Source organism: Homo sapiens, chromosome 12 (genome assembly GCF_000001405.40).
Source record: "Homo sapiens chromosome 12, GRCh38.p14 Primary Assembly".
Classification (NCBI taxonomy): domain Eukaryota; kingdom Metazoa; phylum Chordata; class Mammalia; order Primates; family Hominidae; genus Homo; species Homo sapiens.
This window is the reverse complement of record NC_000012.12, coordinates 109302055-109317074: the sequence shown is the minus strand read 5'-3', so window position 1 is coordinate 109317074 and position 15020 is coordinate 109302055. Positions and strand designations below refer to the sequence as shown.

Here is a 15020-nt window from a genome sequence, read left to right as displayed (position 1 = left end):
AGCTCATGCAATGCATGACAACTTCCTTCCTGATGATTAGTGAATCTGCAGGTATGGTTTTGATAATGAACTATCAGCAAAGCACATCTACCAAACCCTCACTGCCTCCTCCACTGTGCAGTTGCTCTTTAAACAAATTCAAATGGAATCTAAGCACAAAAGCTAAGCACACTGAAAGAACATTTCTATATATGCACTTGGTAGGTTTCAAAGCTCACAGAACAGACTGCAGAATTTCACATATGCAAGATGATGAAACACATTCTTAGGGACCCGAGGGTCCCAAACAAGTCAGGCGCTAGGACCTCCACCGTATTCTCCAGGCCCAAGTTGTGGGGGTCTTTTTGTCCGTTACACCCATGCATGTAATCAGCGATTGTTCCTATTGTAAACCCTAGATTCACCATCTGTATGCTCCAAAAGGCTGGGGGATTGTTAATACCCCATCCCTATGGGATTAATCTGCAATTTCACACTAAATGATTTTTAAGTATAATTTGTTACAATGATACATTACCATTTCTAAAACAAACAGCCAGGATTGTTATGAGGCAAGTATCTGGGGAGTGCTATATTGGAACAAGTTTATACGCCCTGGTTTCACGTTCACCTCACTTCAGACACAAATGGGAAGAGATGGGAAAGGCCCCATCTAGAATCTTGGGAATGGGCTGTTGGTGAGTGAACACGCTGCTTTTTGTTACTGGGGAGCATGATCCGAACACACAATAGTAGTAAGACTGAAAGAAAGTTCTCTAAGCAGTTCTTTAAAACCACTCACGGTTGCTGGGTGTTTGCAGGATAAAGCTGTTTGCAGTGAAAAGTACAAGTTTGGATTCTCAGTTGAGCAATGAACTATTTAAAAAGGCCCTTTTGTGGACAAAGGAAGAGCTCCCCCCCACCCACCCAAATCAATCTGTGACATAAAAAAGAGGTGGCTTGAAGCATGCAGAGGAATTATGCATTTTCATGTAACACTCTTATTTTTGTCTTAGTTTATTCCATAAAAGATATTATTCTAATCAAGAGTTACCATGAATTTCAAAATATATTACAAAGAAGAATATACTTATTTGAAATCAAACCTAAAGAAAGCAAAAGCACCAAACACCCACCTCACAGCATCATCAGGAAGTCAGAACGAGATGTATAGAACTTAGCACCTCGTTGGGCAGAGTAAGCTGTTTGAGAGGATAACTCATTCTTTGTATTAGCTACTGACAATTTTTGAAATTTTGATAGCAACACAGACACAGAAGATATTTTATTTTTGTCTTCACTGTATTATAAGACCAAAGAAAGACATGTTCCAAGAAAAATGGCAAAGGCCCAAGTCTTGGGATTGGGTGATAAGGACTGGTAGGGTCTGGGGCATACTGAAAACCCTGGGACCAGCCCTGTAACAGGAGGCAAGCTGCACTTGGTCCCAGCTGATAGCTATCTTGAGGGATCGTGGGCCTAGTGTGGCCAACTTTTCGATTTTTAAAGAAAAAACCCCAACGTGTAGAATTTAAAAATTCTAGCATCTAATTCAAAAATTTTAAAAGAAAACCTGTGAGCCAAACAAAGCCTGTCTGTGGCTGAATGTGGCCTGTAGATCCCTGGCTCAGGATCCCTGATTTGAAAAAATAGAAAATCACATACAAAGAAAATAGAATACAGAATAGAGTAATAGTCCCAGTCTAATAATGTAGACCCAGATTAGATATGGAATTATATATAAATGCACCTATAACATAGGTCCAATGGCTAGAGCAATAATCCTGCACGATATGAGAAAATAACACTAAAAGAGATACACAAAGTGGCCAAATTCAATCAGCTATAGAATTCAGAGGCAAGACAGCTTTTCCTTGATTGGTGATTGGTGAATGGAATTTCCTGATGGAAAATGAAGGCAAGATCTTAAATTGGGTGAGGTAATGGATTCAGGGCAGAAGACAAGGGCCCTGAATATTTTTTATTTTATTTTTGAGACAGGGTCTTGGTTTGTAGCCCAGGCTGGAATGCAGTGGCACGATCATGGCTCACTGCAGCCTCTGCCTTCCGGGCTCAAGCGATCCTCCTACCTCAGCCTCCTGAGTAGCTGGAACTACAGACACACGTCACCACAGCTGGCTAATTTTTGTATTTTTTTTGTAGAGATGGGGTTTTACCATGTGGCCCAAGCTGGTCTCGAATTCCTGGGCTCAAGTGATCTGCTGACCTCAGTCTCCCAAAGTGCTGGGATTACAGGTGTGAGCCCAGCCAACTTGATTATTCTTTACTTTTTCTGGGCCCATGTAGCTACAGAACAAGGAGAAGCGCCTTTAGAAACAATCACCTGGAAACATAGCTGTTGCCTGTTGAGCACCTTCTAGCATCAGGTGCTGTCTTTAAGCCTCTCAGAGCCCTGAAAGATGAGTGGTGGTATTCCTTTTTGAGAGATGGGGAAGTGAGGATGCAGGGAATAACTTGTCCAGAAACACTCAGCCAGGGGGACTAGGGGAGGGACAGCTTTGAGACTTGAACCTGGTCTGCCTCACAGCGGAGCCATCATGAAGCCCTTTTCCTAGAGGGCTGTCACCCTATTGAAAGAGCCTGCTAGCAGCAGGGAATGGGTGGTTTTGAGCAAATATTCTAATTCATATGGAATCACTGTGTTAATATATCATGGATTATTCACTAGCCAACAATAAAACATGCTTAAGGTTAAAATGATGCCAATTTGTTATGTCTTTGATGATTCAGAAGGTAGCTCAGAATTTTCCAGGGCCTGGTGAGTATCAATGAGCAGCATAACAATGGAGATAGATATTCAGTAATACCAGCCAAGAGACAGCCCAGATTTTTTTTTTTAAAAAGCTTAAAAAAAAAAAAAAGACAAAGAAAAAAGAAAAAAAGTAAAAAAGGCCAGGTATGGTGGCTCACGCCTGTAATCCCAGCATTTTGGGAGGTCAAGGCGAGCAGACCACTTGAAGTCAGGAGTTCTAGACCAGTCTAGGCAATATGGTAAAACCCCGTGTCTACTAAAAATACAAAAATTAGCCAGGCATGGTGGTGCGCGCCTGTAATCCCAGCTACTCAGGAGCCTGAGGCAGAAGAATCACTTGAACCGGGGAGGCAGAGGTTGCATTGAGCCAAGATCCCACCACTGCACTCCAGACTGGGGAAAAAGAGCGAAACTCCGTCTAAAAAAACGAGAAACAAAAAACTCCAAAGAAAACACTTTTCATAAAGGAATGCCTGGACATATTGACTAAAACCATCACAAAATTAAATGAGGTTATTATAAAAGGATGGAAAAGAATTAAAAAAAAAATGCTCTTGCAACTTGCCCAGTGCACATTTGTGGATCATAGTCCATAACAGGCTTGATTTTGTTAGCTGCTATGTCCACTTTTCTGGGAAGTAGAACAGAACAGTGATGAACCTGGATCTGGGCTGAGGTTGTAGGATGATATCACAAATGTGCAAAGACATTAGAGCATTCCCTTCCCGGAAACATCCAAGGGTTTAGCATCCTCTTATTAAATAAGACATATGACAACAATAAGCATTTCTTCTGCAATCGCACTCCCAAAGAATGATCATACACATATCAGTCATGCTAACAGCAGCGGAGATCAATGACCAGTGTATTTTCATGGTCTCCTAAAGGGGAAAAAAATAATCTGTGCTCCCATCTTCTGAAGTTGTTGTTGGACATTAAATGGCGGCTCCACAGTGCCACGGAACTGTACATCTTAGGAAACCAGAATTCGAAATTACTGGCATGCACCTTGGAGAGGGGGCACTGGATAAACTCTCCTGTGAGAACTTGTGGGGTTTTTTTTGGTTTGTTTTTTTGAGACAGGTTCTCACTCTGTTGCCCAGGCTGGAGTGCAGTAGTGCAATCTTAACTCACTGCAGCCTCAACCTCCAGGGGCTCAAAGCAATCCTTCCATCTCAGCCTCCCAAGTAGCTGGGACTACAAGCATGCACCACCATGCCTGGCTAATTTTTTGTTTATTTTTTTTGTAGAGACAAAGTCTCACCATGTTGCTCAGGCTGGTCTCGAACTCCTGAGCTCAAGCATCCACCCGCCTCGGCCTCCCAAAGTGCAGGGATTACAGCCCTGAGCCACCACACCCAGCCTCCATTGAGAACTTTCTTATAAGAAAATATCACCTAGCTTTTAGGAATTGACAAAGCAAGGGAAAAAAGTGCCTATAAATCTCCAGGGTACTATGTGCCAGACACAGCCCAGGGTGCCATGGCCCTGGAGGGTTCTAATTTAATGGTTCAAGTTAAAAAAAAAAAAAACAAAACAAAACAAAAAACAAACAAAAAAAACCTTGGTATTTCTGCTTCATAGACATGCCCTGCAGTTCACTAGACCAAGCCAGCGGTCAGGGTCAAAGAAAGAGACCTGATCATTACTACAAATCACATATTCCAGACCTCACTCCCTTTTCCTCCTCACCATTGGAAAACTAGACCAATAAGCAAAGCAAAAGCCAAGGACTTGGGAAAAAGGAGAAGAAACGGTCATGACCTGATAATAAAACTGAACTTCTAGGCCGGGCCGTGGTGACTCACGCCTGTAATCCCAGCACTTTGGGAGACTGAGGCGGGCAGATCACGAGGTCAGGAGATTGAGACCATCTTGGCTAACACAGTGAAACCCCGTCTCTACTTAAAACAAAACAAAACAAAACAAAACAAAACAAAAAATTAGCTGGGCGTGGTGGCAGGCGCCTGTAGTCCCAGCTACTCGGGAGGCTGAGGCAGGAGAATGGCGTGAACCCGGGAGGTGGTGCTTGCAGTCAGCCGAGATCATGCCACTGCACTCCAGCCTAGATGACAGAGCGAGACTCCATCTCAAAAACAAACAAACAAACAAAAAAAAAAACTGAACTTCTTGATCAAATAAAACCTGCTTTCAGCTTGCCAAGTGAGTTAATACTCTTAATCCTTCAGTACAAACACTGTTTCTACACATTGCATGTGAGGAACTGGTGTTCCCAGTTATGACTGAGTTGATTTATAAGCTTATCAGCATCATGAACAAATATTTCTTACATAGCCATGGGCATCTTAGCTTTGAACAGACCATGCAGATAACAGATCAGGCAGATAACTACACTGCTTAACTATCAAACCTAAGCAACCAAGACGCAGATTAGAGCATTTTCCACTGCATAGAACTGGAAAGGAAAGCCAAAGCCACATACCTATTGCTTTTTCTTTCTTCTGCAAGATTTCTTGTATAATCGGAGGTCTGGTAAACTGGGTTTGTGTTGGGCCTCGTAGAAATCGTGCTAATAGGGAATCTGAAGAAATCAGGACCAATATAAGGCCTGGGATCCTCTCCCTACACCGGAGCAAATGATAATGTGTAATGAAGCTATGGACGCAGGTGAATTTCACATTCTTTCATTTAAACAAAACAAAACAAAAAAGGTGGGTATTGGCCGCCTTTAGCTCAGTGAAAGCATCACCTAGTACAGGTGTCCTCATTTGCTTGACCATAAAATCACCTGAGGCACTTATTAAAAAATAAAGATTCCTAAGCCTTGCATTTTATGGTTCTGATTTCACCCCAGGTGACCTACTACAATTGAAAAATGCCATGTATTTATATAAGGGAAAAACAGATTGATCTAACAAAGCGAAAGCAGTGTTTTTGTTAAGTTCCCTGGGTTTTGTAGCAGTAGGTGTTTTAGTGGCAATATTTTTACCAACCAGGCCTGAAGCAGTGAACTCAAAAATCTCAATTTTTTAATTAAATGGCCTCCCCAACACCCTCAACCTCCCACCCCACTCCTTTTTAGTGGGAGGGGCTGTCTTTTAGTGAAGGATTCTTGCTTTTCTTTTCCATATTTCATGAGTCTACAGAACTCACAGACTGGATGCCTTTTATTTTAAAAACTTTACTGAATCCATCAGCTTTCAGAAGAGACAATTTCTTTCCAAACCATTCTGAAGATATAAAATTACACCTTAATGAAAATGACTGTGACCTCACAAGGAGGTTGTCAAGTCACCCACGTTTCCTTACAACTCCAAGAAGGATTAACAGAAATAAACCCAAATGCTTTGAATGCTTACAACTTTACTGGTGAATTAATTATATGTCATTCAGGGACATTCAAAGCAACATAAACTATGTAAACCACTTTCCTAACCGGTCAAAACACACATTTTAAATACATGCTGGTCGCGGGAGATGAAAACTGAGAAAGTTTCATGACTGTGACCTCAACTAACATCTGTAAACTACATCTTTTTCCTCCCTAGAGAATGAAAGCTGATCTATTTACTCCTGGCAGAGAAGAAAGGAGGAAGGACGTCCAGGTGCTACCAGAAAACCATTTGTGAGGACATGGACCAGTGCCAAGGTCACAGCCCACCTGAATAGAACTTGAAATCCAGGCACACCCAGTCCAGGGGAGCCCTGAGTTCTTCCTGAACTTAAACACTGGGTTTAAAAAAAAAAAAACAGTCACAGGTGCGGGGACACTGGTCCCCTGCCTGCTGCGAAGTAGATAACGCGAGGACAGCCTCAAAACAACTCCAGACGCTTCGGGTGCCTGAGCCTCACTCGGTGGGGGCGGCGCAGAGGTCCACGTGCAGTACGCGAGCTGGGGAGGTGCGGGAGCCCGCGCTCTGCCCGTGCGCCGCCGACCCACTCACTGCCGCTCGGGGCTTTGGGTTCCCCCCATGCAAAAGGAGGACCATGCTATGTCATCAAGGGCTGATGCGAAGAAGAACCCAGAAGCAGGCGTCAATAAGTAACGAAAGAATGGGGGTAGCCGTGCCTAATATCGTTGCTGCCGTGGCAATTACTGCAACGGAGGCTTGAGAGTTAGGGCGCCAGAAACGCAAACTTTCCAGGGGACCAAACTCATCCAAGCCTCCTAAGGGGCCTGTGGAGACCTCTGCCCGCTCTGGGCCCCGCCGCCGTCCGCGGTCCGCGCCACCTTTCCCGCGGCTGGCTCCAGGCGGGGCGGGGCAGCGGCGGCGCGGGCCGGGCGGCGGGGAAGGGAGGGAGCGCGGTTGCACACGCGGGCCACTGCCCCCAACGGCTGCGCTGGGCTCGCGGCGCCGTACCCCGAACGCCGCAGCCTCCGCCTCCGCCGCCGCCGCCACCGCCACCGCCACCGCCGTCGCCGTCGTCGCGGCTGCCGGGGCCGCCGAGCCCCGCCGCACTCGCTCCGGGCGGGCTCACCCTCCTCGCGGGACAGGGGGGCGCAGCGCGCAGTCCCGGGGAGCCCTCCTCGCCTCGCCGCCGCGCTGGGCCCGGGCCCCCCCTCGCGGCCCCAGCAGGTGGAGGCGCCCCGCGCCCCGCTCCGCAGCCCCCTCCCGCTGCGCGCCAGCCCGCGCGGGCGCAACTTTCTTAAAGGGACAGGTGGACCGAATCCGCGTCCACCTGGGGCCCCGTCTCTGCCTCCCGGCCCGTCCTCCACTTTGGGGGAGAGAGGGGGTTGCAACAGATCTCTCCGCCCGCCCACGTCCTTTGCCCCAGGCGGGATTGCAAGTTTTAATGCACCCAGCCTCCTTTTGCAACTTAATTCCCTTGGCCGAAATCACCCTCCCACTGCTCCTCAACGCATGCTCTCGGGCATGCAGTTGTTGTCACTGTTGGCAAAGTTTGAAGAGGGGTCCCTACCCCTGCACTCCTCCGCCCCGCCCCCCTCACACACACCCCCCCCCCAGAACCCCGGGGCGTGCAAGGCTCGCGGCTGCTGGGAAACGCCCGCTGCAATCCCCTTGACCCTGCCCTGTAACTGACCCTTGGGGAAAAGCCCCCCGCACGGCTACTGCGCATGCTCTGAGCTGGACAGCTCCAGAGAGGGAAATTTAAAAACGGTTCGAGCTGCGACGGCGGCCAAATTGCGGAACGCGAGGGGCGAGCGCGAGGGAGCCCCCCTCCGGAACCCCTGCCCACCCCCGGAGCGCCGGCAGCGGCGGCCCCGCGAGGATCGGCTCCAGGTACCGCCTTGCAGGGTCGGCTTTGCTCCCTCCTCCCGGGCAATGCCGGGCATTGCATTTCCAGGGTAGAGACCCGGGCGCAGGGGCTGCGGGGCCGCCTCCCTCTGCTCCCTTTTCCTCCTTCCTGGGAATCCTTCGATGGCTTTGGGGGCGGAACTGAGGCTTTGGTGGGCTTTTATGTTGGTTCAGGCTTGGAGTTTGAGAAACTTAGGGAACTCAAATATTTTTATTATTTTTTTAAGGCAGTGTTTGTGTGTTGCGGGGACGTGGGTGGTTGGATTGGTTTTCCAGTAAGGGCTTGTGGCATTTCTGAAGGCATTTCAGGGCAGGAGCTTGCGGGGATTATTCCCTTTGCAAGTGGGAATTTGTTCCCCCAGAGAAATACACATGTCACATCCAGCTGCCCCTTATTTTGAAAGTGATCATAACCAAACTGAGGTTGAAAATATAAGGCTTGGAAGGAAATCGTTTTTCTGATTCCTATTTTGTGAGTCCACATTTTCCAGGTTTGACATTTGGATTCTAGAGCTTCCCTTGCTCTTCCCCCATTAATTCGAAAGAACCGGGAATTTCATTTCATTCTCTTCATTTGTTTCTAAAACGCTGTAGAATTGCCCTGGGAAAGTGACCTGAGATGCCCAGGAATCCTCTAGAACTTTTTTCTTTAAAGAAAAAAAAAGTGTTCTGTGAGTTGATTGTGCTCCATCTTTCTGAATTGCGGGAAAACTGTGGGTTTCTGCCCTGTCCATATCGTCGCTGATGGGAGCTTTGTTTTCTGCTTGTCTTTTCCCAAGGAGATGATAGAAAGTGACACCTCATCCATAATGTCAGGAATTATTCGAAACTCAGGGCAAAATCACCACCCCTCTCCACAGGAATACAGGTGAGGGCTCCAACAATAACAAACTATATATTTTTTAATTGCTCAAAGTGTTTGTATGCTGTTTATGGTTTCTGAAACTGCCCAAGAACTATTGTTATGTTCAATTCTGTGATTTTTGCGGGAGAGCTGGAAAGTCTTGATTTCAATGTTGGTCTTGCTAAGGGTGTCTGGGCCACAACCTGGCCCAGTGGGACCACGAAATGCCTGCTGTCTCTTGTCCCCTCCAAAAGAGGTCCGTTTCTGCATTTGATACTGTTTGGGCATCCTGGTGAATGTTAAGATGACAATAGCAGCTACTGCTTCCCCTCCAGTGGCCTTAATGGGGGCTGTGGGAAATGCTCCCCCACCCCCTGCCAAAAAAAAACCTTCTGGGAGGAATTGGGTTCTATCCTCCACAGATGTTAAGAAAGTAGTCAGATATGCTAAGTTCTCAGCCAGGCTGTGTGACATTCAGCAAGTCCTTTGCCCTGGGCCTCACTTCCTCATCATTTAATTGATCTTGTTGAAGTAGATGATCTTAAGGTTTCTTCTAGGCCTCATGTGTTTGAAGAGTAAATTAGATGGAAACTGAGGCCTTGAAACAGGGTGAAGCAAGGTACAACTGAGAGGATGCATGGAAGCCTTCAGAGCCCTTCTGTCTTTTTTTGTCTTCAAACATCATAGCCAAAAAGGCCTTTAGGAGGTCAACCAGTCTGCGCACCCCCTATTTTTTTTACAGTTGGGGAAACTGAGGCCAAGAAAGGGGAAAGGGCTTGTCCAAGGTCTCCAGGAGGGAAAAGGAGGAAAAGGAAGGACCTGGAGTCCCCTCCCGGCCTCTTTCCCCTTGAGGCCAGGGAGCCCTGACCTCGTTTCCAGGGCTCCCCCGACAGAGCAAGCAACATGTCTGTAGGCTGAGGGGGCACAGTCCAGATTACGGAATGGGGACAGGACCAGGGCTGGCCTGGGAAGAGCAGGCTGTCACCTCCTATCAGCCCTGTTTACCCAGGGTTTGTCTGGCCCCCCCGGGGTCACTGCAACTCACCAGGAGTGCCTGCTGGGACAGACCGCAGCCCGCAATTAGAGGGAGGCTGCTTCCTGAGGGCTGTGGGCCTGGAAGCTGCCTTCTGAGATCCAAACGAGGACACAGATTCAAACAGATATTTGCAGAGAGCCTGCTGTGTGCAGAGCTGGGGCCAGGTACGTGGCAGTTTGCAAGCACCTACTGTGTGCCATCCCCCATCACTCACCTCATCTCGGGAGGTTGCTCTGATGAGCCCTGTTGTATAGGTGAGGAAACTGAGGCTTAGAAAAATGAAATGGCTTCTCCCAAGATCACACAGCCAAGGGCCTCTAGGCTTCCTTCCAGCACTCTCAGGGTTTAAATAATGCCAAGTGATTTAGTGGCAGTGTAAGGGTTAGCAGCTTAGGCTCTCAAGTCCATTATAATCCCAACTTCTCTGGCTACGTGGAGCTCTCTGAGCCTCAGCTTCTTCATCTGTAGAATGGGGATAGAAATAATACCCACTGCATGGAGTTGTTATGACAATTTAGTAATCATTTTTGGCTCTGCCATTCACCAATTATGAGCAGATTCACCTGTGAACTTTCATAGTTTTGTGCAATGGGGATAGTAAAAGCTAGCTCTGGAGGGTTAAATGATATATGTATCATATTATCTATGAAGGCACCTGACACCCAGCAGGCACTGAATGTATCCAGGGTGAATCTACTTCTGCCCTCCTAGCTGCAAGCCTGGGCGAGCGCATCCTTCCTCCAGGTTGGCTTTAAGAGCTCAAAGACATTGAATCTTACTGTTGCCTAAAAGCGCCCCTTAAAAGCACTGGAGATAGGGGAGTCAGAGAGTGAGAACAATTGCTAGGATTCAGACACGTGCAGGTTCAAAGCCCAGCTTTAGGCAGGGCCGGTGACTTGCTTTTGTTTCTCATCTTTAAAATGGGCATGATCACAGCTCTTCCCTCATGCAGTTGCTGGGAGGATTAAGTAAATAAAGCTTGTAGAGCAAGAAACACATAATCAGTAGTTGCTGTTGCTGTTACCACTTAGTTACATTAGAGAGTCCAGCTTCCCGCAAGAGACGCGTCTATGGAGGGCTCTCACGGTGGGAAGTGGGGAGGAACTTGGAGGGTGGGAGAAACCCTGAATCCAGGTGCCCAGGTGCTGCCCAGGAGGGGCTCCCATCAGACTCAGCCCCGGAGTCTTGACCTTGTTCATCTGGGCCACCCAGCTGACAAACTGTCTGGGGGCACTAAGCAACTGCCCTTCTCCAAAAACAGGGCGGGGCAAGCAGAGAACTTCTTGGGGGCCTGGCAATGCCTAGCCAGTCCACTGCCGAGCTAGCAGGGGTCAGGAGTTGGGGAGTGGGGAGGAGAAGCAGGCCTGTTCCCATCAGCACTGGATCCAGAGGTGCCCAGGCTCCTGGTCTGGCACAAGCCTTTCCTGTTCACGTGGATTCAAGGCTGGTTTTTGTTTTGTTTGTTTGTTTTTGGTTTTTTTACTTGTTTTTTTTGTGTGTGTGAGTCACTCTGTCACCTAGGCTGGAGTGCAGTGGTGTGAACTCAGTTCACTGCAACCTCCGCCTCCCGGGCTCAAGCAATTCTCCTGCCTCAGCCTCCCTAATAGGTGGGATTACAGGCGAGAGCAACCGTGCCTGGCTAATTTTTTATTTTTAGTAGAGACAGAGTTTTGCCATGTTGGTCAGGCTGGTCTCAAACTCCTGACCTCAAGTGATCCACTTGCCTCGACCTCCCTCCAAAGTGCTGGGATTATAGGCGTGAGCCACCGTGCCCAGCAGTGTTTTCTTATATCCAACAGCCAGAGTATCCAGAAGGCAAAATAACATAATAATAATAATAACAACAATAATAATAGCAGCTGGTGGTTTCTTAACCTTTTACTGCCTGCCTTCCCTGTGCTCTTGGCTTTTGGCATAAATCCCCGTCAAATCCCATCAAATCCCCAAAACCACCCCATGAAGGTAGAACTCTTGGGCCCATTTGGTGAATGAGGAAACCAAGGCTGAGCCTGTTTAAATGGCTTAACAAGATGGCACAGCTCATCATGGGTACAGTGGAGACTTGGCCCCAAAGTGGTTGCACCCTGAGAGTATTTGTAACCACCATTTGTGACCACTGGCCCCAAGTCCCACTGGCCATGAGCACGGGTGTTGGAACAGAATAAGCTGCTGCATCACCTCACCTCAGTGTGACCCTGGAGTAGTCACTGCCTCTCTCTGAGCCTCAGGTTCTTCATCAGTGAAATGGAGCCACCCAATTTGCAGGTTTGCTGGGAGGATTCTGCACTTCGAATGGGTCAAGGCATTCAGAGGGGCCTGGGAGAGAATGCTTTCTTGCAGAGGGGGTTTTATGATTACACAGTGACTTCCCACTTCCAACCACTCCCATTTTTCTCCCCAAATAGTAGCCCAGGAAAAGTTTATGGGCTTCTCATTCGCCCTCCCACATCCCAGAGAAGGACTCCAAGGACCACTTAGGCTGTGGGTCCAGCCTCTCGTGCAGCCGCCTGGCTCTCCATCCCCCTGGGGCTGAGTTTGGCCGTTAATTTTCAATGGCTGTGTGCAGGAGGGCGGGGGCAGCAGCTAGAGGCGGCTGCCCTGTCCCTGGGGAGCTGTCAGGAGTCAGTGGCGGGGCCTAGACAGCAAATTGGCAGCAGCCTCTCAGCCCTGCTGCTGATGAAGGGGCAGGGGACTGGGGGTGGTCCTGACCTCTTGGGCAACGGTAAACAGGGCTCATGCTCAATGTGGGTTAGCTGGATTTCTCTCTAGCTCAGGGGGTGGGAGGAAAGTCCACCCTTAGAGGTGCTAAAACAGAGTTATTAAGTATCTACTGTGTGCCAGGCACCTGCAAAACATCTTAGCAAGGGCAGCATCCCATTTCATCTTTTTATTTACTTCTTTCTTTCCTTCTTTCCTTCTTTCTTTCTCCTTTCTTTCTTTCTTTCTTTCTTTCTTTCTTTCTTTCTTTCTTTCTTTCTTTCTTTCTTTCTTTCTTTCTTTCTCTTTCTTTTCTTTTCTTTCTTTTTTTTTTTTTTGACGGAGTCTGGCTCTATCGTCCAGGCTGGAGTGCAGTGGTGCGATCTCAGCTCACTGCAACTTCCACTTCCTGGGTTCCAGCAATTCTCCTGCCTCAGCCTCCTGAGTAGCTGGGATTACAGACGCCCATCACCACGCCCAGCTAATTTTTGTATTTTTAGTAGAGATGGGGTTTCACCATATTGTCCAGGCTGGTCTTCAACACCTGATCTTAAGTGATCCGCCTGCCTCAGCCTCCCAAAGTCCTGGGATTACAGGCGTGCCACTTTTTTATAGTAACAACCATGAGACAGGTACTGACATTATCCCAATCTACAGGTAAGGATACTGAGGCCAAGAGACATGACTTGCTCAAAGGCACACATTTATGAAGGGGCAGAACTTATATTATTAATCACCTGCCCCTACCTTTTAGAATTTATTCTAGAGGTCAGGTCCAACAAGCTCCTTTTACAGATTGGGAAACTGAGGCCCAGTGAGATGACGGAAGGCAGGCTTCTGGCTTCTTGGACCCTCACCTTCTCCCAGGGCCACAAGGCTCAGTGGTCCTCCTTCTGGATCCTCGTGCTGGATGTTCACTTCCCAAAATCTCAGTCCCTGCTCTAAGAAATGAGGCGACCTTAGGGGAAAGCCCTTCCTCTCTCTGGATGGTGGTTCTCTTATCTGTGGACTGCAATGCTGGGCACACAGTAGATAAAAGTTAATACATATGTACTGGATAGATGGATGAATGGACAAATATCACGTGAAAATAACACATCCATGGAAACACAGGGAGGCTTCATGCTCAAGGGATGATAAATTTCTCTTGAACCCACACTGCGTGTGGGGATAGTTTAACCCATATCAGGTGGCTTCACCCATCAGTTGTGATCTCCTTGGAAGGGGCTCCGTTTCTTAGGGGCAGTAACCATCCCGATGTCTTCCCATCCCTTCACCCTCAGGGTGGAGAGAACAGCTCCTCAGGTGACCTTATGGGCAAGGAAGAGAGGTAGCCTCTCTGTGGTCCGACTCTTTCCCAGTCTTGCAGTTTCATCCCTAAAAAACACATGTGTGCATGCACTCACACACACATGCACATTCTAAGTCCCAAGCCAACTCTTGTTCTAGAAAGGAAAGATTCTTTTATCCAAATTCCTAATCAAATCATTTCACACTACACTGACCCTTGGCCAAGCTGGGAATTTCTGAGCTTGCTAAATTGTATTTGATTTTCTTTATCCTGCACATGGTTACAAAAGATGTGTTAGCTAAATAAACACCTCCATGAAATGCTTAATCCCTTTTTGTGTAATGGTTGGATTGGGAACAAGAACAGCTTTCAGTGATGTAACAGTTTCTTACCCACCACATCTCAAGAAGGCAGGCGAAACCTTGTTGTAATCAGGGCGGAGTTGCCGCGCAGGTAGGGCGGGACATGTCTCTGAATCTCTGGAATGGTGATCTAACCCCCACCCCCCGGCAATATTTGTCAGGCAGACCCCTCCTAAATGACAACGCAGAGGAGAGAATGAAGTGGGAAGAGAGAAATGTGGCCTGAGCACCTACTACTATGTGTCTGGCTTTGTCTTAGAGGTTACCTGATCTTATCCTCACATCTGCCCCCTGTGGTGAGAATTATTATTATTCCATTTTACTTATGAGGAAACTGCAGCACAGAGAGGTGAAGTGACTTCCCCCAAATCACACAGCTATGAAGGGGTTGAGATGAGATTTCAACTAAACTCAAGATGGATATTCTTTCCTCTGTACAATTGCTGTATCAACCTAAGGAATCCCAAGGTAGGAAGTAAAGAGTTAATTGTGGTCTCTGGACTTCAGCTATGTAGGCAAGTATTCCCACAGAAACCATAATCCATCCATAAATATGTGTGACCCTGTGTGGGCACCTGCCAGGCTCTATGGCAAGTTCATTGCATTTTACCTTTATGGCAACAATCACGGGACAGTGGCCGTGGGGGTCCAGTTCACATTGGGGGGACAAATATTTGTCAAATGAAAGGCTCAGAGCTGGCTGCTATGGGTCTTGTAATGAGGTGTAAGACACATCCATCTTTGTCCTCTTGGCATTTAGTATCTAGAAGGGAGGAGCGGGTAAGAACAGATGCCTGGGTTACATTAGTGGGTGATCAT

General features: G+C 47.7%; 2 protein-coding genes across 4 annotated transcripts in view, besides 1 other annotated feature; one reads left to right on the top strand and one right to left on the bottom strand.

Moving 5' to 3' along the window:
- Positions 1-6607, bottom strand: part of MYO1H (myosin IH) — a 137912-nt gene extending 131305 nt beyond the window's left edge. The window contains exons 1-2 of the mRNA XM_011538223.3: positions 6375-6607; positions 5196-5335 (exon numbers count right to left, since the gene is read on the bottom strand). The gene's annotated coding sequence lies outside the window, so the exon portion shown is untranslated. The remainder of the gene's footprint in view (positions 1-5195; positions 5336-6374) is intronic.
- Positions 4375-4575: a silencer, noted in NCBI's record as "peak1941 fragment used in MPRA reporter construct". NCBI's record gives its function as "represses an SCP1 promoter by STARR-seq MPRAs in K562 erythroleukemia cells {active_cell/tissue: K562}" and the evidence as "EXISTENCE:reporter gene assay evidence [ECO:0000049][PMID:32103011]".
- Positions 6608-7790: 1183 nt separating the features above from the next.
- FOXN4 (forkhead box N4) overlaps positions 7791-15020 on the top strand; it is a 31307-nt gene continuing 24077 nt past the window's right edge. For all 3 annotated transcript variants that reach the window (NM_213596.3, XM_011537922.3, XM_011537923.3), the window contains exons 1-2: positions 7791-7956; positions 8751-8839. In NM_213596.3, the coding sequence (NP_998761.2) occupies positions 8754-8839 (86 nt within the window). In that variant the 5' untranslated portion in view covers positions 7791-7956; positions 8751-8753. The remainder of the gene's footprint in view (positions 7957-8750; positions 8840-15020) is intronic.